The 20,996-nt window shown below is 41.2% G+C and overlaps 1 protein-coding gene across 1 annotated transcript in view; it reads right to left on the reverse strand.

The window, feature by feature from the left end:
- Positions 1-20,996, reverse strand: part of MEIKIN (meiotic kinetochore factor) — a 138,674-nt gene that overhangs the window by 71,374 nt on the left and 46,304 nt on the right. The window contains exon 9 of the mRNA NM_001303622.2: positions 615-685. Within this exon, the coding sequence (NP_001290551.1) occupies positions 615-685 (71 nt within the window). The remainder of the gene's footprint in view (positions 1-614; positions 686-20,996) is intronic.

The following is a 20,996-nucleotide window of genomic DNA, read 5'->3' on the forward strand; positions in this document are numbered from 1 at the left end:
GAGTCCATCCTGGCTAACACAGTGAAACCCTGTCTCTACTAAAAATACAAAAAATTATCCAGGCCTAGTGGCAGGCACCCGTAGTCCCAGCTACTCGGGAGGCTGAGGCAGGAGAATGGCATGAACCCAGGAGGCAGAGCTTGCAGTGAGCCGAGATCATGCCACTGCACTCCACCCTGGATGACAGAGTGAAACTCTGTCTCAAAAAAAAAAGTATTGGTTAAGGCTGGGTACAGTGGCTCATGCCTGTAATTCCAGGACTTTGGGAGGCTGAGATGGTAGGATCGCTTGAGGCCATGAGTTTGAGATGAGCCTGGACAACTAGTGATACCCCATCTTTACAAAAAAAATTTAAAAATTAGCTTGGCGTGGTAGTGCATGCATGCCTGTAGTTCCAGTTACTCAGGGGGTTGAAACAGGAGAACAGCTTGAGCCCAGAAGTTCAAGGCTGTAGTGAGCTATGATCACAGCACTGAACTCTAACCTGGGTGACAGAATGAGACCCCATTTCTTAAAAAAAAAAAAAAAAGTAAATTTAAACTGTTAGTTAAAAGTATATTCTTTATTAATGAAATGTATTATGATTTATGTAGTTATTCTGCTTCAATACTTGCTTTTTTCTTTGTTTTTTCAGGGGTTGAAGGGCAAGTTTTCTCAGCAAGTAAAATCTCACAAGCTGCATTATCTATAAATAAAAACATAGTTCAGTATTCTACTTATTTCAACTGTCATTAACTATGAGTCCAAAGGACAAGAGAATTCAAATTTGACAAAACAAAATAATATTTGTAAAACCCCTGATTTTAATGACTGCACCTTTGTCAATAATTAAACAAGAAAAATTAATGTATGTTGAATAATAAAAACATCCTTATCTTAAGAGCTCCAGGTTTCACAGAAGCAAATAAAAAATATGTAAAATATTTTCTTTTCAGTTAGTAGGGAAAGTCGCATGTGATTATACTTCTTCATTCATTATCCTACCATTTCCACTCTCCACATTTTCAAGCTCTTTTTCTACTACAATTTTTTCTTTTTTCTTTTTTTAAATTTCAATAGCTTTAGGGGTACAAGTGGTTTTTGGTTATATGGAAAAATTGTACAGTGGCGAAGCCTCGGCTTTTAGTGTACCTGTTTACTGCAACTTTTCTATCAGCATTTTAAACATTCTCAAGCCTGTTTCATCAAAAACTTTCCTTGTACCTCATATCCACCTCCTGCTATAGCCCCTGTATCTCCTCTTGCCCACAGGCAAATTTCTTAAAAGATCTGTCCACATATACCAACTTTATTTCCTCTCCTCCTATTTACTTCCAAATCCAAAGTATCCAGTTGCACTTCCACCAATATCAGCAGAAACCTTTCCTGTCCTACCTCACTGGACCTTACTACAACAGGCTGGAACATTTCTAACCTGGCTCCTTTTTATGTCTCTTCTTCAGTCTTGAGTCTTCCCTTTTCCTCTCTCTGGACTCAATCCAAGCAACAAGTATTTATTGAGTGTCTGCTATGTGCCAATTTTGCCTATCATATGCATTTAAAATTGCATATTCAGCTTTTCTTTTTCTTTTTTTGAGATGGAGTCTCACTCTGTTCCCCAGGCTGGAGGGCAGTGGCGTGATCCGGGCTCACGGCAAACTCCACCTCTCGGGTTCAAGCAATTCTCCTGCCTCAGCCTCCCAAGTAGCTGAGATTACAGGCACACACCACCACGCCCAGCTAATATATATACAATTTTTTTTGAGACGGAGTTTTGCTCTTTGTTGCCCAGGCTGGAGTGCAGTGGCGCGATCTAGGCTCACTGCAACCCCTACCTCCCGGGTTCAAGCGATTCTCCTGTCTCAGCCACCCGAGTAGCTGGGATTACAGGTGCCTGCCACCACACCAGGCTAATTTTTGTATTTTTTTTTTTTTTTTTTAGTAGAGACAGGGTTTCACCATGTTGGCCAGGCTGGTCTCAAACTCCTGACCTCAGGTGATCTGCCCGCCTCGGCCTCTCAAAGTGTTGGGATTACAGGCGTGAGCCAACGTGCCCGGCCTATTTTTTTTTTTTTTTAAGTAGAGACGGGGGTCTCACCATGTTGGCCAGGCTGGTCTCAAACTCCTGACCTCAAGTGATCCGCCTGCCTCGGCCTCCCAAAGCACTGGGATTACAGGCGTAAGCCATGATACCCGGTCCAGCTTTTCTTTATTCTTAGCAATACTACCTTGAATTAAGGCACCAAAAGATTTTTCTTTAGGTTTCAATAGCATTTCAATTCACCTCCCTCTGCAGTCCATTATCCTTGTATACTTAAAATGCAAATAGTGTTTGCTTAAAACTCTTCAAAGGCTTTCTACTGCCCCCAAGTTAAACTCAAGCTCCTTAATGTACCATTACAAAGTCCTTCTTTTTATGACCTGTGTATTTCTTATGTATTCCTCAGCCTCACTACAGAGGCTAATAGGGTTGCCAGATAAAATACACTATGCCCAGTTAAATGTGAATTTCAAATAAACACTGAATAATATTTTAGTATATCACATTTAATAGCACAAGCATGAGCAATATTTAGGACATACTTATCTTAAAAATTATTTGCTGTTTATTAGAATTCAAATTTAACTGGGTATTCTGTAACTTTATTTGCTAAATCTGTTAATCCTAGAGACTAATCACTCCTGCCATATGGGTCTTTGAGGGTAAGAAGCAACAGGTGGGTTTGAGAGCTCTGTAGGAGATAAAACTAATACCAAGATTTGGAAATAGATTAGATATTAGCCTGAAAAATGACAAAAAAGAAAGTGTTAAGGATAACCTTCAGGTTTCTGGTTTGCTAAACCACATCTGTTAACCAACATGGAGGATAATAGTGTAGGACCAGGTTAGGTCTTGGCTGTGACAATTGTTAGTCCTCAATCCTCATTTGATTTCATAATCTTGATAACTTTTGTCATAGCTGGTATCATTCCTTCCTTAAAACACTCTCCTCTCCTGGCTTCATCATTCTTTCCTGGTTTTCCTACTACAGCACAAGCCACTAGGTCTCAGGGTTTTTTTGCCGGATATTTCTCCCTTTCCCTACCTCTAAATGTTGGAGTGTCCCATTTCCATTCACTGTGTATGTTTTTTAAAAATTATTTTTACCTCCTACATGATTTCATTAAATCCTATGGCTTCAAAACATCTCTTTGCTGACTCCAAATACGTATCCATAGCCCCAGCCTCTGGTCTGGAGTTCTCCAGACTCCTGCATCATAAACTGCCTTCATGACATCTCCACTTGAAAGCTAATAAGCCTTTCAGTTTTTAAAGATTTTATTGAAGTATACCATATATATAATAACAGTCACAATCTTGGTATATATGTATTCATCCATGTATCTACCACCCAGATCAAGATACAAAATATTTCCAGCACCTGGGAAGTTTTCTATGTGTTCTTTCCTCGTTGGCACCCTTTCTCCAAAGACTACCACTGTTTCGACATGTCACCCAGAAGAGTCTTGCCTGTTCTTGAACTTTATATATATGAAATTATATAGTATATACATGTGTGTTCTTTCACAAAACTTAATGTGTATGGGCTGACAGATCAAATTTGATATGTCCAAAAAAATTATCTTAACCATTCTCCCAACTTGGTCTGCCCTATAGTGCTCCCATCTCAATAAATGGTACCATCATTCATCCAATTTCTCAAGAATTTAATATTCATCCTTGACTTCTATTTTTTTCTCTTACCTAATATCCAGCCTAATCACAAATTCCTGGTATATCTGCCTGTAAAATATATTCCAAATCAGACCACTGCTACCATCATGGTTTAAAACACTATTATCTGATCACTGTAATAGTTTAATAAGGTCTCCTTGCTTCTACTCTCGCCCTCTTAATCTATTCTCCACATAACAGCCAAAATGATAATTCTAAAATATATAATCTGAGTCTTTGGAACTTAGAAAAGTACCACCTCTTAGAACCTTAGGACCACAGATGCACTGGACCCAGACACATAGAACTCAAGGGCTCTTGGAAGCTTGGAATTTCTCCAGTTTACAGCTTGCTCCTCTGGAGTGATGGACAAAGCAGAAAGAATAGGTGAAACACAGTAGTTTCTCAGATTTATATTTAGATTATTTTCCATCTTACTACAACATATATGAATATCCTAAAATGGTAATGTCAGGTGTTGTAGCTACCGACCTATGGGGCTATTTAAATTCATTTAAAATGAAATAAAATGTAAAATAAAAAAATATATATCTGATCATGTCATCCCTCTGCTCTAAGATGATCTAAGATGTATTTCTCAGTACATTTAGAATAAAATCCATAGTCCTTACAATAGTATACAAGGCTCCACTTTACACAACCTGGTTAGCTCTCTGACCACAATTTCAACCATTCATCTTCCTGCTCACTGTGCTCCAGCCACACTGACCTCTTTCCTCTCCCTCAAACATGCCAAGCACATTCCCATCTCATGGTTTTTTCACTTATTGTTCCCATTGCCTGGCATGCTCTGCCCCCCAGGTTTCCACAAGGCTGACTCTCTAATTTTATTCAGGCTCTCACCTCCTCAGAGAGGCCTATCCTGATTGCTCTATCTAAAATAGCATGCCTAGTTACACCTCTTTACCCTACCTTATATTCCTTAGTTACTGTTATTTCTATTTGACGTTATATATTTATTTATCTGTTTATTATCTTTTTTTCCACTATGTAACATTTGTTCTATTAGGGCAAGGATACTGTCATGTTTCCCGGTAACTAAAACAGTTTATGCCATACTTAGGTGCTTAATAAATATTTGCTGAATGAACTAAATTAATGAACACTAAATTGAGATGCCTCTAAAATATCCAAGAGGAGATATCTAGAAGGCAGCTGCATATAATGGTCTTAACCTCAGAGGAGAAGAGTCTAGGTTAAGAGAAAACCTGGAAATCCTGCCTATTACAAGACACCTATATATATCAGGCAGAAGATAAAAAGAGATTAGAATCTAGGAACTAACTTTGAAAAACTCCCACATTTAATGACTGATGTTGGCAATTAAGATTGCAAGTCTGAACAGGAGTTACTTGAGAAGTACTTTCTTGTTTATTTGTTTATCTCTATTACTAGACCATACAATCCTTGACAGCAAGAAAAACAACCATTTCTGAATTTCTTAACACTTAGTAGAAGAGCCTGGCACACGGTTGAAACACAGCTGGATTTGTTGAATTAAGAAATGTATAAGGAAGGACAAAGCAAGATGGCCGAACAGAAGACTCCACTGATCATTGCCCCTGCAAGGACACCAATTTAACAACTATCTACATACAAAAAGCACCTTCATAAGAACCAAAATTCAGATGAGCACTCATAGTATCTGGTTTTAACTTCATGTTGCTAAAAGAGGCACTGGAAAAGGTTAAGAAAGACAGTCTTGAATCACCAATGCCACACCTCCTTCATCCCCCCACAGCAGCCCTGTGGCATGTAGACAGAATCTGTGCATTTGGAAGGAGAGTAAAGGGATTGTGAGACATTGCACTGAACTCAATGCTGCCCTGTCAAGTGGAAAGCAAATCTGGGCTGAACTCAGCTGGTGCCCACCCATGGAGGGAGTATTTAAACCAGACCTAGCCAAAGGGAAATCGCCCATTCCAACAGTCAGAACTTGAGTTCCAGCAAGCCTTGCCACTATGGAATAAAATGCTCTGGGGCCCTAAATAAACTTGAAAGTCTAGGCTACAAGGACTGTAACTCCCAGGCGAGTCCTAGTGCTGAACTGGGCTCAGAGCCAGTGGACTTGGGGTGGGCAGGGCGGGGTGGTGTCGGGGAGCGGGGATGTGACCTACTGGGACACCAGCCAAGGCAGCTAAGGGAGTGCTTGTGCCACCCCTCTCACAACCCCAGGCTGCACAGCTCATGGCTCCAAAAGAGACCCCTTCCTTTTGCTTGAGGAGAAGAGAGAAAAGACTAAAGAGGACATTGTCTTCCATCTTGGATACCAGCTCAGCCACAGCAGGGTAGGGTACCAGGAAGAGCAGTAAGGCTCTGGCTCCCAGACAACGTTTCTAGACACACCCTGGGCCAGAAGGGAACCCACTGCCTTGAAGGGAAGGAAGACCCAATCCTGGCAGGTTTCATCACCTGCTGATTAAAGAGCCCTTGGGCCCTAAATAACCAGCAATGATACCAGGTAGTATACCATGGCCCTTGGGTGAGACTCTGAGACTGGCTGCAAGTGACACTCAGCACATTCCCAGCTATGGTGGTTATGGGAAGAGACTCTCTGCCTGAGAAAAGTGAGGGAAATGTAAAGGAGATTTTATCTTGCACCTTAGATACCAGCTCAGCCACAGAAGGGTAGAGCACCAAGCAGGCTCTTGGGGGTCCCTAATTCCAGGCCTTGGCTCTTGGACAGCATTTCTGGATGTGCCCTGGGCCAGAGAGGAGTCCACTGCCCTGAAGGGTGAGTCCCAGGCAGCATTTACCATAAGCTGACTGAAGAGCCCTTGGGCCTTAAAGGAACACTGGTGGGTACCCTGGCAGTATTCCCCATGGGCCTGTGGTGGCCGTGGCCGCAGGGTGAGGCTCCTCTGCCTGTGGAAAGAAGAGAGAAGAGTGGGAAGGACTATGTCCCATGGTATGAGTGCCAGCTCAGCCACAGTACAACAGAAAACCAAGTAAACTGCTAAGGGTTTTCACTCTAATTCCTGGCTCATGGACAGCCACTCTGGACCTGCCCAGGGTCTGGGGGAACTTGCCACCCTGCAGGGAAGGACATAAGCTTAGTTGGCTTCATCACCTGTTGTTTGCAGAGCCTTAGGGCCTTGAGAAAACACAGGCAATAGCCAGGTATTAGTTACAATGAGCCTTGGGTGAGACCCAGTGCTGTGCTGGCTTTAGTTCTGACCAAGCACAGTCCCAGTATTGGGAATTGGAGGCCACAGAGGTGCTTGTGTTACCCCACCCCCAGCTGCAGGCCACTCAGAACTGAAAGAGAGAGAGAGAGAGAGAGAGAGAGAGAGAGAGAGAGAGAGAGAGAGAGAGAGAGAGAGAGAGAGAGAGAGAGAGAGAGAGATTGAGATTGATTCTGTTTGTATGGGAGAAAGTAAGGGAAAAGAAAAAGAGTCTCTGCCTGGTAATCCAGATAATTCTTTCAGATCTTATCTAAGACCACCAAGGTGGTACCTCCATAAGTCTGCAAGAACTACAGTGTTACTGGGCTTTGGGTGCCGCCTAATGAAGATACAGTTTAGATCACAACACCCAAGTCCTTTCAAATACCTGGAAAGTCTTCCTAAGAAGGACAGGTACAAACAAGCCCAGAGTGCAAAACTTACAAGAAATAGCTAACTCTTCAGAGTCCAGACACCAACAAACATCTACAAGCATCAGTACTATCCAGGAAAACATAACAGCTCAGCCACAGAGGGGTAGAGCACCAAACAGGCTCACCAAATGAACCAAGTAAAGCACCAGGGACCAATCCTGGAGAAACGGAGATACATGAGCTTTTAGATAGACAATGCAAAATAGCTGTTTTGAGGAAATTCAAAGAAATTTAAAATAACACAGAGAAGAAATTCAGAATTCTGTCTGGTAAATTTTACAAAGAAATTTAAATAACTAAAAAGAAATAAGAAATTCTGGAGTTGAAAAATGCAACTGACACGTTGAAGAATCCATCAGAGCCTTTTAATGGCAGAATTGATCTAGCAGAAGAAAGCATTAGTGAGCTTGAAGACAGGTTATTTAAAAATACATAGAGAAGACCAAAGAAAAAAGAATAAAAAACAACGAAGCATGTTTACAAGATCTAGAAAATAGCTTCGAAACGGCAAATCTTAAGGGTTGTTGGCCTTAAACAGGAGGTAGAGAAAAAGACAGGGGCAGAAAGTTTATTCAAAGGGATAACAACATGGAATTTCCCAAATCTAGAGAAAGATATCAATATCAAGTACAAGAAGGTTATAGAACACCAAGAATATTTAACCCAAAGACTACTTTAAGGCATTTAATAATCAAAGTCTTAAAGTTCAAGGATAAAGAAAAGATCTTAAGAGCAGCAAGAAAAAAGAAACACAACATACAATGGAGCTTCACTAGGAGCAGACTTTTCAGTGGAAAACCTACACTCCAGGGGAGAACAGCATGACATATTTAAAGTGCTGAAGGAAAACAACTTTTACTCTACAATAGTATATCAGGCAAAAATATCCTTTAAGCACCAAGGAGAATCACAGACCTTCCCACAAACAAAAGCTGAGGGATGTCATGAGTGCCAGACCTGTCCTATAAGAAATTCCAAAGAGAATACTTCATTTACAAAGAAAAGGACATGAATGAGCAATAAGAAATAATGTGAAGGTACGAAACTCATTGGTAATAATGAGGTCACAGAAAAACACAAAGTATTATAACAGTGTAATTGTGGTGTGTAAACTACTCTTATCTCTTTATTTTTTATTTTTTTATTATACTTTAAGTTCTAGGGTACATGTGCACAACATGCAGGTTTGTTACACAGGTATGTGCCATGTTGGTTTGCTGCACCCATCAACTCGTCATTTACATTAGGTATATCTCCTAATGCTATCCCTCCCCCCTCCCCCCACCCTAATGCTATCCATCCCCCAGCTCCCCATCCCCTGACAAGCCCCAGTGTGTGATTTCCTCGCCATGTGTCCAAGTGTTCTCATTGTTCAATTCCCACCTATAGGTAAGAACATGCGGTATTTGGTTTTCTGTCCTTGTGATGGTTTGCTGAGAATGATGGTTTCCAGCTTCACCCATGCCCCTGCAAAGGACATGAACTCATACTTTTTTATGGCTGCACAGTATTCCATGGGGTATATGTGCCACATTTTCTTAATCCAGTCTATCATTGATGGACATTTAGGTTGGTTCCAAGTCTTTGCTATTGTGAAGAGTGCTGCAATAAACATATTGTTTATATGTGTGCATGTGTCTTTATAGTAGCATGATTTATAACCCTTTGGGTATATACCCAGTAAGGGGACCACTGGGTCAAATGGTATTTCTAGTTCTAGAACTTTGAGGAATTGCCACACTGTCTTCCACAATGGTTGAACTAATTTACACTCCCACCAACAGTGTAAAAGCATATTTCTCCACATCCTCTCTAGCATCTGTTGTTTCCTGACTTTTTCATGATCACCATTCTAACTGGTGTGAGATGGTAATTCACTGTGCTTTTGATTTGCATTTATCTGATGACCAGCGATGATGAGCATTATTTCATGTGTCTGTTGGTTGCATAAAGGTCTTCTTTTGAGAAGTGTCTGTTCATATCCTTTGCTCATTTTTTGTTGGGTTTTTTTCTTGTAAATTTGTTTTTTTTTTATTTTATTATTATTATACTTTAAGTTTTAGGGTACATGTGCACAACATGCAGGTTTGTTACATATGTATACATGTGCCATGTTGGTGTGCTGCACCCATTAACTTGTCATTTAGCATTAGGTATATCTCCTAATGCTATCCCTCACCCCCTCCCCCCACCCCACAACAGGCCCCAGTGTGTGATGTTCCCCTTCCTGTGTCCATGTGTTCTCACTGTTCAATTCCCACCTATGAGTGAGAACATGCGGTGTTTGGTTTTTTGTCCTTGTGATAGTTTGCTGAGAATGATGGTTTCCAGTTTCATCCATGTCCCTACAAAGGACATGAACTCATCATTTTTTATGGCTGCATAGTATTCCATGGTATATATGCGCCACATTTTCTTAATCCAGTCTATCATCGTTGGACATTTGGGTTGGTTCCAAGTCTTTGCTATTGTGAATAGTGCCTCAATAAACATACGTGTGCATGTGTCTTTATAGCAGCATGATTTATAGTCCTTTGGGTATATACCCAGTAATGGGATGGCTGGGTCAAATGGTATTTCTAGTTCTAGATCCCTGAGGAATCGCCACACTGACTTCCACAATGGTTGAACTAGTTTACAGTCCCACCAACAGTGTAAAAGTGTTCCTATTTCTCCACATCCTCTCCAGCACCTGTTGTTTCCTGACTTTTTAATGATCGCCATTCTAACTGGTGTGAGATGGTATCTCATTGTGGTTTCGATTTGCATTTCTCTGATGGCCAGTGATGATGAGCATTTTTTCATGTGTCCGTTGGCTGCATAAATGTCTTCTTTTGAGAAGTGTCTGCTCATATCCTTCGCCCACTTTTTGATGGGGTTGTTTGTTTTTTTCTTGTAAATTTGTTTGAGTTCATTGTAGATTCTGGATATTAGCCCTTTGTCAGATGAGTAGATTGCAAAACTTTTCTTCCATTCTGTAGGTTGCCTGGTCACTCTGATGGTAGTTTCTTTTGCTGTGCAGAAGCTCTTTAGTTTAATTAGATCCCATTTCTCAATTTTGGCGTTTGTTGCCATTGCTTCTGGTGTTTTAGACATGAAGTCCTTGCCCATGCCTACGTCCTGAATGGTATTGCCTAGGTTTTCTTCTAGGGTTTTTATGGCTTTAGGTCTAACATGTAAGTCTTTAATCCATCTTGAATTAATTTTTGTATAAGGTGTAAGGAAGGGATCCAGTTTCAGCTTTCTACATATGGCTAGCCAGTTTTCCCAGCACCATTTATTAAATAGGAAATGTTTTTCCCATTGCTTGTTTATGTCAGGTTTGTCAAACATCAGATAGTTGTAGATAAGTGGCATTATTTCTGAGGGCTCTGTTCTGTTCCATTGGTCTATATCTCTGTTTTGGTACCAGTACCATGCTGTTTTGGTTACTGTAGCCTTGTAGTATAGTTTGGAGTTAGGTAGCGTGATGCCTCCAGCTTTGTTCTTTTGGCTTAGGATTGACTTGGCAATGCAGGCTCTTTTTTGGTTCCATATGAACTTGAAAGTAGTTTTTTCCAGTTCTGTGAAGAAAGTCATTGGTAGCTTGATGGGGATGGCATTGAATCTATAAATTACCTGGGGCAGTATGGCCACTTTCATGATATTGATTCTTCCTACCCACGAGCATGGAATGTTCTTCCATTTGTTTGTATCCTCGTTTATTTCATTGAGCAGTGGTTTGTAGTTCTCCTTGAAGAGGTCCTTCACGTCCCTTGTAAGTTGGATTCCTAGGTATTTTATTCTCTTTGAAGCCATTGTGAATGGGAGTTCACTCATGATTTGGCTCCCTGTTTCTCTGTTATTGGTGTATAAGAATGCTTGTGATTTTTGCACATTAATTTTGTATCTTGAGACTTTGCTGAAGTTGCCTATCAGCTTAAGGAGATTTTGGGCTGAGAAGATGGGGTTTTCTACATATACAATCATGTCATCTGCAAACAGGGACAATTTGACTTCCTCTTTTCCTAATTGAATACCGTTTATTTCCTTCTTCTGCCTGATGGCCCTGACCAGAACTTCCAACACTATGTTGAATAGGAGTAATGCGAGAGGGCATCTTTGGCTTGTGCCAGTTTTCAAAGGGAATGCTTCCAGTTTTTGGCCATTCAGTATGATATTGGCTGTGGGTTTGTCATAGATAGCTTTTATTATTTTGAGATACGTCCCATCAATACCTAATTTATTGAGAGTTTTTAGCAAGAAGGGTTGTTGAATTTTGTCAAAGGCCTTTTCTGCATCTATTGAGATCATCATGTGGTTTTTGTCTTTGGTTCTATTTATATGCTGGATTACGTTTACTGATTTTCGTATGTTGAACCAGCCCTGCATCCCAGGGATGAAGCCCACTTGATCATGGTGGATAAGCTTTTTGATGTGCTGCTGGATTCAGTTTGCCAGTATTTTATTGAGGATTTTTGCGAAGGATATTGGTCTAAAATTCTCTCTTTTTGTTGTGTCTCTGCCAGGCTTTGGTATCAGGATGATGCTGGCCTCATAAAATGATTTAGGGAGGATTCCCTCTTTTTCTATTGAATGGAATAGTTTCAGAAGGAATGGTACCAGCTCCTCCTTGTACCTCTGGTAGAATTCAGCTGTGAATCCATCTGGTCCTGGACTTTTTTTGGTTGGTAAGCTATTAATTATTGCCTCAATTTCAGAACCTGTTATTGGTCTACTCAGAGATTCAACTTCTTCCTGGTTTAGTCTTGGGAGGGTCGAGGAACTTATCCATTTATGTGTCGAGGAATTTATCCATTTCTTCTAGATTTTCTAGTTTATTTGCATAGAGGTGTTTACAGTATTCTCTGATGGTAGTTTGTATTTCTGTGGGATCAGTGATGATATCTCCTTTGTCATTTTTTATTGCGTCTATTTGATTCTTCTCTCTTTTCTTCTTTATTAGTCTTGCTAGTGGTCTATCAATTTTGTTGATCTTTTCAAAAAACCAGCTCCTGGATTCATTGATTTTTTGAAGGGCTTTTTGTGTCTCTATTTCCTTCAGTGCTGCTCTGATCTTACTTATTTCTTGCCTTCTTCTAGCTTTTGAATGTGTTTGCTCTTGCCTCTCTAGTTCTTTTAATTGTGATGTTAGGGTGTCAATTTTAGATCTTTCCTGCTTTCTCTTGTGGGCATTTAGTGCTATAAATTTCCCTCTACACACTGTTTTGTATGTGTCCCAGAGAGTCTGGTATTTTGTGTCTTTGTTCTCATTGGTTTCAAAGAACATCTTTATTTCTGCCTTCATTTCGTTATGTACCCAGTAGTCATTCAGGAGCAGGTTGTTCAGTTTCCATGTAGTTGAGCGGTTTTGAGTGAGTTTCTTAACCCTGAGTTCTAGTTTGATTGCACTGTGGTCTGAGAGACAGTTTGTTATGATTTCTGTTCTTTTACATTTGCTGAGGAGTGTTTTACTTCCAACTATGTGGTCAATTTTGGAATAGGTGTGGTGTGGTGCTGAAAAGAATGTATATTCTGTTGATTTGGGGTGGCGAGTTCTGTAGATGTCTATTAGGTGCGCTTGGTGCATAGCTGAGTTCAATTCCTGTATGTCCTTGTTAACTTTCTGTCTTGTTGATCTGTCTAATGTTGTCAGTGGGTTGTTAAAGTCTCCCACTATTATTGTGTGGGAATCTAAGTCTCTTTGTAGGTCACTAAGGACTTGCTTTATGAATCTGGGTGCTCCTGTATTGGATGCATATATATTTAGGATAGTTAGCTTTTCTTGTTGAATTGATCTCTTTACCATTATGTAATGGCCTCCTTTGTCTCTTTTGATCTTTGTTGGTTTAAAGTCTGTTTTATCAGAGACGAGGATTGCAACCCCTGCCTTTTTTTGTTTTCCATTTGCTTGGTAGATCTTCCTCCATCCCTTTATTTTGAGCCTATGTGTCTCTGCATGTGAGATGGGTTTCCTGAATACAGCACACTGATGGGTCTTGACTCTTTATCCAATTTGCCAGTCTGTGTCTTTTAATTAGAGCATTTAGCCCATTTACATTTAAGGTTAATATTGTTATGTGTGAATTTGATCCTGTCATTATGATGTCAGCTGGTTATTTTGCTCATTAGTTGATGCAGCATCTTCGTAGCTTTGATGGTCTTTACAATTTGGCATGTTTTTGCAGTGGATGGTACCGGTTGTTCTTTTCCGTGTTCAGTGCTTCCCTCAGAAGCTCTTTTAGGGCAGTCCTGGTGGTGACAACATCTCTCAGCATTTGCTTGTCTGTAAAGGATTTTATTTCTCCTTCACTTATGAAGCTTAGTTTGGCTGGATATGAAATGCTGGGTTGAAAATTCTTTTGTTTAAGAATGTTGAATATTGGCCCCCACTCTCTTCTGGCTTGTAGAGTTTCTGCCAAGAGATCAGCTGTTAGTCTCATGGGCGTCCCTTTGTGGGTAACCCAACCTTTCTCTCTGGCTGCCCTTAACATTTTTTCCTTCATTTCAACTTTGGTGAATCTGACAACTATGTGTCTTGGATTTGCTCTTCTCGAGGAGTATCTTTGTGGCGTTCTCTGTATTTCCTGAATGTGAATGTTGACCTGCCTTGCTAGATTGGGGAAGTTCTCCTGAATAGTATCCTGCAGAGTGTTTTCCAGCTTGGTTCCATTCTCCCCGTCACTTTCAGGTACACCAATCAGACGTAATTTGGTCTTTTCACATAGTCCCATATTTCTTGGAGGCTTTGTTCGTTTCTTTTTATTCTTTTTTCTCTAAAATTCTCTTCTCACTTCATTTCATTCATTTCATCTTCCATCACTGATACCCGTTCTTCCAGTTGATTGCATTGGCTGCTGAGGCTTATGCATTCGTCACGTAGTTCTTGTGCCGTGGTTTTCAGCTCCATCAGGTCTTTTAAGGACTTCTCTGCATTGGTTATTCTAGTTATCCATTCATCTAATTTTTCTTCAAGGTTTTTAATATCTTTGCTATTGGTTCGAACTTCTTCCTTTAGCTCGGAGTAGTTTGATCATCTGAAGCCTTCTTCTCTCAACTCGTCAAAGTCATTGTCCGTCCAGCTTTGTTCCATTGCTGGTGAGGAGCTGCGTTCCTTTGGAGGAGGAGAGGTGCTCTGATTTTTAGAGTTTCCAGTTTTTCTGCTCTGTTTTTTCCCCATCTTTGTGGTTTTATCTACCTTTGGTCTTTGATGATGGTGACGTACAGATGGGTTTTTGGTGCGGATGTCCTTACTGTTTGTTAGTTTTCCTTCTAACAGTCAGGACCCTCAGCTGCAGGTCTGTTGGAGTTTGCTGGAGGTTCACTCCAGACCCTGTTTGCCTGGGTATCAGCAGTGGTGGCTGCAGAACAGCAGATATTGGTGAACCACAAATGCTGCTGTCTGATCGTTCCTCTGGAAGTTTTATCTCAGAGGAGTATGCGGCCATGTGAGGTGTCAGGCTGTCAGACAGGGGCATTTAAGTCTGCAGAGGTTACTGCTGCGTTTTGTTTGTCTGTGCCCTGTCCCCAGAGGTGGAGCCTACAGAGGCAGGCAGGCCTCCTTGAGCTGTGGTGGGCTCCACCCAGTTAGAGCTTCCCAGCCGCTTTGTTTACCTAATCAAGTCTTGGGAATGGTGGGCGCCCCTCCCCCAGCCTCGCTGTTGCCTTGCAGTTTGATCTCAGACTGCTGTGCTAGCAATGAGCAAGGCTCCATGGGCGTAGGACCCTCTGAGCCATGTGGGGGATATAATCTCCTGGTGTGCCATTTGTGAAGCCCGTTGGAAAAGCGCAGTATTAGCGTGGGAGCGACCCGATATTCCAGGTGCCATCTGTCACCCCTTTCTTTGACTAGGAAAGGGAATTCTCTCACCCCTTGCACTTCCCGGGTGAGGCGATGCCTCGCCCTGCTTCAGCTCACGCATGGTGTGCTGCACCCACTGTCCTGCACCCACTTTCCAGCACTCCCCAGTGAGATGAACCCGGTACCTCAATTGGAAATGGAGAAATCACCCATCTTCTGCGTCGCTCATGCTGGGACCCGCAGACTGGAGCTGTTCCTATTCGGCCATCTTGGGTCCACTCCATAAATTTGTTTAAGTTCCTTGCAGATTCAGGATATTAGCCCTTTGTCAGATAAGTAGAGTGCAAAAATTTTCTCCCATTCTGTAGGTTGCCTGTTCACTCTGATGGTAGTTTCCTTCACTCTGATTGTAGTTTATTTTGCTGTGCAGGAGATCTTTAGTTTAATTAGATCCCATTTGTCTATTTTTGTTTTTGTTGCCATTGCTTTTGTTGTTTTAGTCATGAAGTCTTTGCCCATGTCTACGTCACGAATGGTATTGCCTAGGTTTTCTTCTAAGGTTATTATGGTTGTAGGTCTAACATTTAAGTCTTTAATCCATCTTGAATTAATTTTTGTATAAGGTGTAAGGAAGGGATCCAGTTTCAGCTTTCTACATATGGCTAGCCAGTTTTCCCAGCACCATTTATTAAATAGGGAATCCTTTCCCCATTGCTTGTTTTTCTCAGGTTTGTCAAAAATCAGACGGTTGTAGATGTGTGGTGTTATTTCTGAGGCCTCTGTTCTGTTCCATTGGTCTACATGTCTGTTTTGGTACCAGTACCACACTGTTTTGGTTACTGTAGCCTTGTAGTATAGTTTGAAGTCAGGTAGTGTGATGCCTCCAGCTTTGTTCTTTTGGCTTAGGATTGACTTGGCAATGCAGGCTCTTTTTTGGTTCCATATGAACTTGAAAGTAGTTTTTTCCAATTCTGTGAAGAAAGTCATTGGTAGCTTGATCGGGATGGCACTGAATCTATAAATTACCTTGGGCAGTATGGCCATTTTCATGATATTGATTCTTCCTATCCATGTGCATGGAATGTTCTTCCATTTGTTTGTGTCTTCTTTTATTTTGTTGAGCAGTGGTTTGTAGTTCTCCTTGAAGAGGTCATTTGCATCCCTTGTAAGTTGGATTCCTAGGTATTTTATTCTCTTTGTAGCAATTGTGAATGGGAGTTCACTCATGATTTGGCTCCCTGTTTGTCTGTTATTGGTGTATAGGAATGCTTGTGATTTTTGCACATTGATTTTGTATCCTGAGATTTTGCTGAAGTTGCCTATCAGCTTAAGGAGATTTTGGCCTGTGACGATGGGGTTTTCTAGATATACAATCATGTCATCTGCAAACAGGGACGATTTTACTTCCTCTTTTCCGAACTGAATACCCTTTATTTCTTTCTTTTGCCTGGTTGCCCTGGCCAGAACTTTCAGCACTATGTTGAATAGGAGTGGTGAGAGAGCACATCCTTGTCTTGGGCCAGTTTTCAAAGGGAATGCTTCCAATTTTTGCCCATTCAGTATGATATTGGCTGTAGGTTTGTCATAAATTTTGAGGTACATTCCATGAATACCTAGTTTATTGAAAATTTTTAGCATGAAGGGCTGTTGAATTTTGTCGAAGGCCTCTTCTGCATCTGTTGAGATAATCATGTGGTTTTTGTCTTTGGTTCTGTTTATGTGATGGATTACGTTTATTGATTTGCATTTGTTGAACCAGCCTTGCATTTCAGGGATGAAGCCCACTGGATCATGGTGGATAAGCTTCTTGATGTGCTGCTGGATTTGGTTTGTCAGTATTTTACTGAGGATTTTCACATCGATGTTCATCAGGGATATTGGTCTAAAATTCTCTTTTTTCATTGTGTCTCTGCCAGGCTTTGGTATCAGGATGATGCTGGCCTCATAAAATGAGTTAGGGAGGATTCCCTCTTTTTCTATTGATGGGAATAGTTTCAGAAGGAATGGTACCAGCTCCTCTTTGTACCTCTGGTAGAATTCAACTGGGAATCAGTCTGGTCCTGGACTTTTTTTGGTTGGCAGGATATTAATAATTGCCTCAATTTCAGCGCCTGTTATTGGTCTATTCAGAGAGTCAACTTCTTCCTGGTTTAGTCTTGGGAGGGTGTATGTGTCCAGGAATTTATCCATTTCTTATAGATTTTCTAGTTTATTTGCATAGAGGTGTTTATATTATTTTCTGATAGTAGTTTGTATTTCTGGGATCAGTGGTGATATCCCCTTTATCATTTTTTATTGTGTCTATTTGATTCTTCTCTCTTTTATTCTTTATTAGTCTTGCTAGTGGTCTATCAATTTTGTTGATCTTTTCAAAAAACCAGCACCTGGATTCACTGATTTTTGAAGGGTTTTTTGTGTCTCTATCTCCTTCAGTTCTGCTCTGATCTTAGTTATTTCTTGCCTTCTGCTAGCTTTTGAATTTGCTTGCTCTTGCTTCTCTAGTTCTTTTAATTGTGATGTTAGGGTGTCGATTTTGGATCTCTCCTGCTTTCTCTTGTGGGCATTTAGTGCTATAAATTGCCCTCTACATACTGCTTTAGCTTTGTCCCAGAGATTCTGGTACATTGTGTCTTTGTTCTCATTAGTTTCAAAGAACATCTTTATTTCTGCCTTGATTTCGTTATTTACCCAGTAGTCATTCAGGAGCAGGTTGTTCAGTTTCCATGTAGTTGTGTGGTTTTGAGTGAGTTTCTTAATCATGAGTTCTAATTTGATTGCACTGTGGTCTGAGAGACAGTTTGTGTGATTTCTGTTCTTTTTCATGTGCTGAGGAGTGCTTTACTTCCAATTATGTGGTCAATTTTAGAACAAGTCCAATGCGGTGCTGAGAAGAATGTAAATTCTGTTGATTTGGGGTGGAGAGTTCTGTAGATGGCTGTTAGGTCTGCTTGGTGCAGAGCTGAGTTCAAGTCCTGGATATCCTTGTTAACCTTCTGTCTCACTGATCTAATATTGACAGTGGGGTGTTAAAGTCTCCCATTATTATTGTGTGGGAGTCTAAGTCTCTTTGTAGGTCTCTAAGGACTTGCTTTATGAATCTGGGTGCTCCTGTATTGGATGCATATATATTTAGGATAGTTAGCTTTTCTTGTTGAATTGATCCCTTTACCATTATGTAATGGCCTTCTTTGTGTCTTTTGATCTTTGTTGGTTTAAAGTCTGTGTTATCAGAGACTAGGATTGCAACTACTGCTTTTTCTCGCTTTCCATTTGCTTGGTATATCTTCCTCCATCCCTTTATTTTGAGCCTATGTGTTTCTCTGCACATGAGATGGGTTTCCTGAATACAGCACACTGATGGGTCTTGACTCTTTATCCAATTTGCCAATCTGTGTCTTTTAATTGGGGCATTTAGCCCATTTTACATTTAAGGTTAATATTATTATGTGTGAATTTGATCCTGTCATTATGATGTTAGCTGGTTATTTTGCCCGTTAATTGATGCAGTTTCTTCCTAGCATCGGTGGTCTTTACAATCTGGCATGTTTTTGCAGTGGCTGGTAGCAATTGCTCCTTTCCATGTTTCATGCTTCCTTCAAGAGGTCTTGTAAGGCAGGCCTGGTGGTGACAAAATCTCTCAGCATTTGCTTGTCTGGAAAGGATTTTATTTCTCCTTCACTTATGAAGCTTAGTTTGGCTGGATATGAAATTCTGGGTTGAAAATTCTTTTCTTTAAGAGTGCTGAATATTAGCCCTCACTCTCTTCTGGCTTGTAGAGTTTCTGCCAAGAGATCCACTGTTAGTCTGACGGGCTTCCCTTTGTGGGTAACCCAACCTTTCTCTCTGGCTGCCCTTAATATTTTTTCCTTCATTTCACCCTTGGTGAATCTGACAATTATGTGTCTTAGGGAGGAGTAACTTCTCGAGGAGTATCTTTGTGGTGTTCTCTGTATTTCCTGAATTTGAATGTTGGCCTGCCTTGCTAGGTTGGGGAAATTCTCCTGGATAATATCCTGAAGAGTGTTTTCCCACTTGGTTCCATTCTCCCCATCACTTTCAGGTACACCAGTCAAACGTAGATTTGGTCTTTTCACATAGTCCCAGAAGCCTCTTGGAGGCTTGTTTGTTCCTTTTCATTCCTTTTCCTCTAATCTTGTCTTCTCGCTTTATTTCATTAATTTGATCCTCAATCACTGATATCCTTTCTTCCACTTGATGAAATCGGCTATTGAAGCTCGTGCATGCATCATGAAGTTTTCATGCCATGGTTTTCAGCTCCATCAGGTCATTTTAGGTCCTCTCTACACTGTTTATTCTAGTTAGCCATTCGTCTAACCTTTTTTCAAGGTTTTTAGCTTGAAATAGGTTTTTCCTTGCAATAGGTTAGAACATGCTCCTTTAGCTCAGAGAAGTTTGTTATTACCAACCCTCTGAAGCCTACTTCCGTCAACTCATCAAAGTCATTCTCCATCCAGCCTTGCTCTGTTGCTGGCGAGGAGATGCGATCCTTTGGAGGAGAAGAGGTGCTCTGGTTTTTAGAATTTTCTGCTTTTCTGCTCTGGTTTCCTCCCATCTTTGTGGTTTTATCTACCTTTGGTCTTTGATGTTGGTGCCCTACAGATGGGGTTTTGGTGTGGATGTCCTTTTCGTTGATGTTGATGCTATTCCTTTCCGTTTGTTAGTTTTCCTTATAACAGTCAGGTCCCTCAGCTGCAGGTCTGCTGGAGTTTGCTGGAGGTCCACCTCAGACCCTATTTGCCTGGGTATCACCAGCAGATGCTGCAAAACAGCAAATATTGCAGAACAACAAATATTGCTGCCTGATCCTTCCTCTGGAAGCTTTGTCCCAGAGGGGCAGCCGCCTATATGAGGTGTCTATTGGCCCCTACTAGAAGGTGTCTCCCAGTTAGGCTACACGGGGGTCAGGGACCCACTTGAGGAGGCAGTCTGTCCATTCTCAGAGCTCAAACGCTGTGCTGGGAGAACTGCTGCTCTCTTCAGAGCTGTCAGACAGGGACATTTAAGTCTGCAGAAGTTTCTGCTGCCTTTTGTTCAGCTATGCCCTGCCCACAAAGGTGGAGTCTATAGACGCAGTAAGCCTTGCTGAGCTGCGGTGGGCTCTGCCCAGTTCGAGCTTCCCAGCCACTTTGTTTACCAACTCTAGCCTCAGCAATGGCGGAAGGCCCTCCCCATGCCAGGCTCCACCCTCACAGGTCAATCTCAGGATGCTGCGCTAGCAGTGAGCAAAACTCCGTGGGCATGGGACCCCGTGAGCGAGGCACGGGAGAGAATCTCCTGGTCTGTCGGTTGCTGAGACAGTGGGAAAAGCACAGTATTTGGGCAGGAGTGTCCCGTTTTTCCATGTACAGTCTGTCATGGCTTCCCTTGGCTAGGAAAGGGAAATCCCCTGACCCCTTGCACTTCCCGGGTAAGGCAATGCCCCGCCCTCCTTCGGCTTGCCTTCCACGGGCTGTACCCACTGTCCAAGCAGTCCCAATGAGATGAACCAGGTACTTCAGTTGGAAATGCAGAAATTACCCATCTTCTGTGTCGATCACGCTGGGAGCTGCAGACCGGGGCTGTTCCTGTTCAGCCATCTTGGAACTGACCTCTACTCTTATCTCAATTAGAAAGACTAAATGATGAACTAGCCAAAAATAATAACTACAATAACTTTTCAAGACATAATGCAATAAGATATAAATAAAAACAACAAAAAGTTAAAAAGTGGGGAGATGAAGCTAAGATGTAGTTTTATTAGTTTTCTTTTCACTTGTTTGTTTATGCAAACAATGTTAAGTTGTGATCAGCTTAAAATAATGGATTATAAGATAGTATTTACAAGCCTCATAGTAACCTCAAATCAAAAAACATACAACAGATACACAAAAAATAATAAGAAA

Source organism: Homo sapiens, chromosome 5 (genome assembly GCF_000001405.40).
Source record: "Homo sapiens chromosome 5, GRCh38.p14 Primary Assembly".
Taxonomy (NCBI): domain Eukaryota; kingdom Metazoa; phylum Chordata; class Mammalia; order Primates; family Hominidae; genus Homo; species Homo sapiens.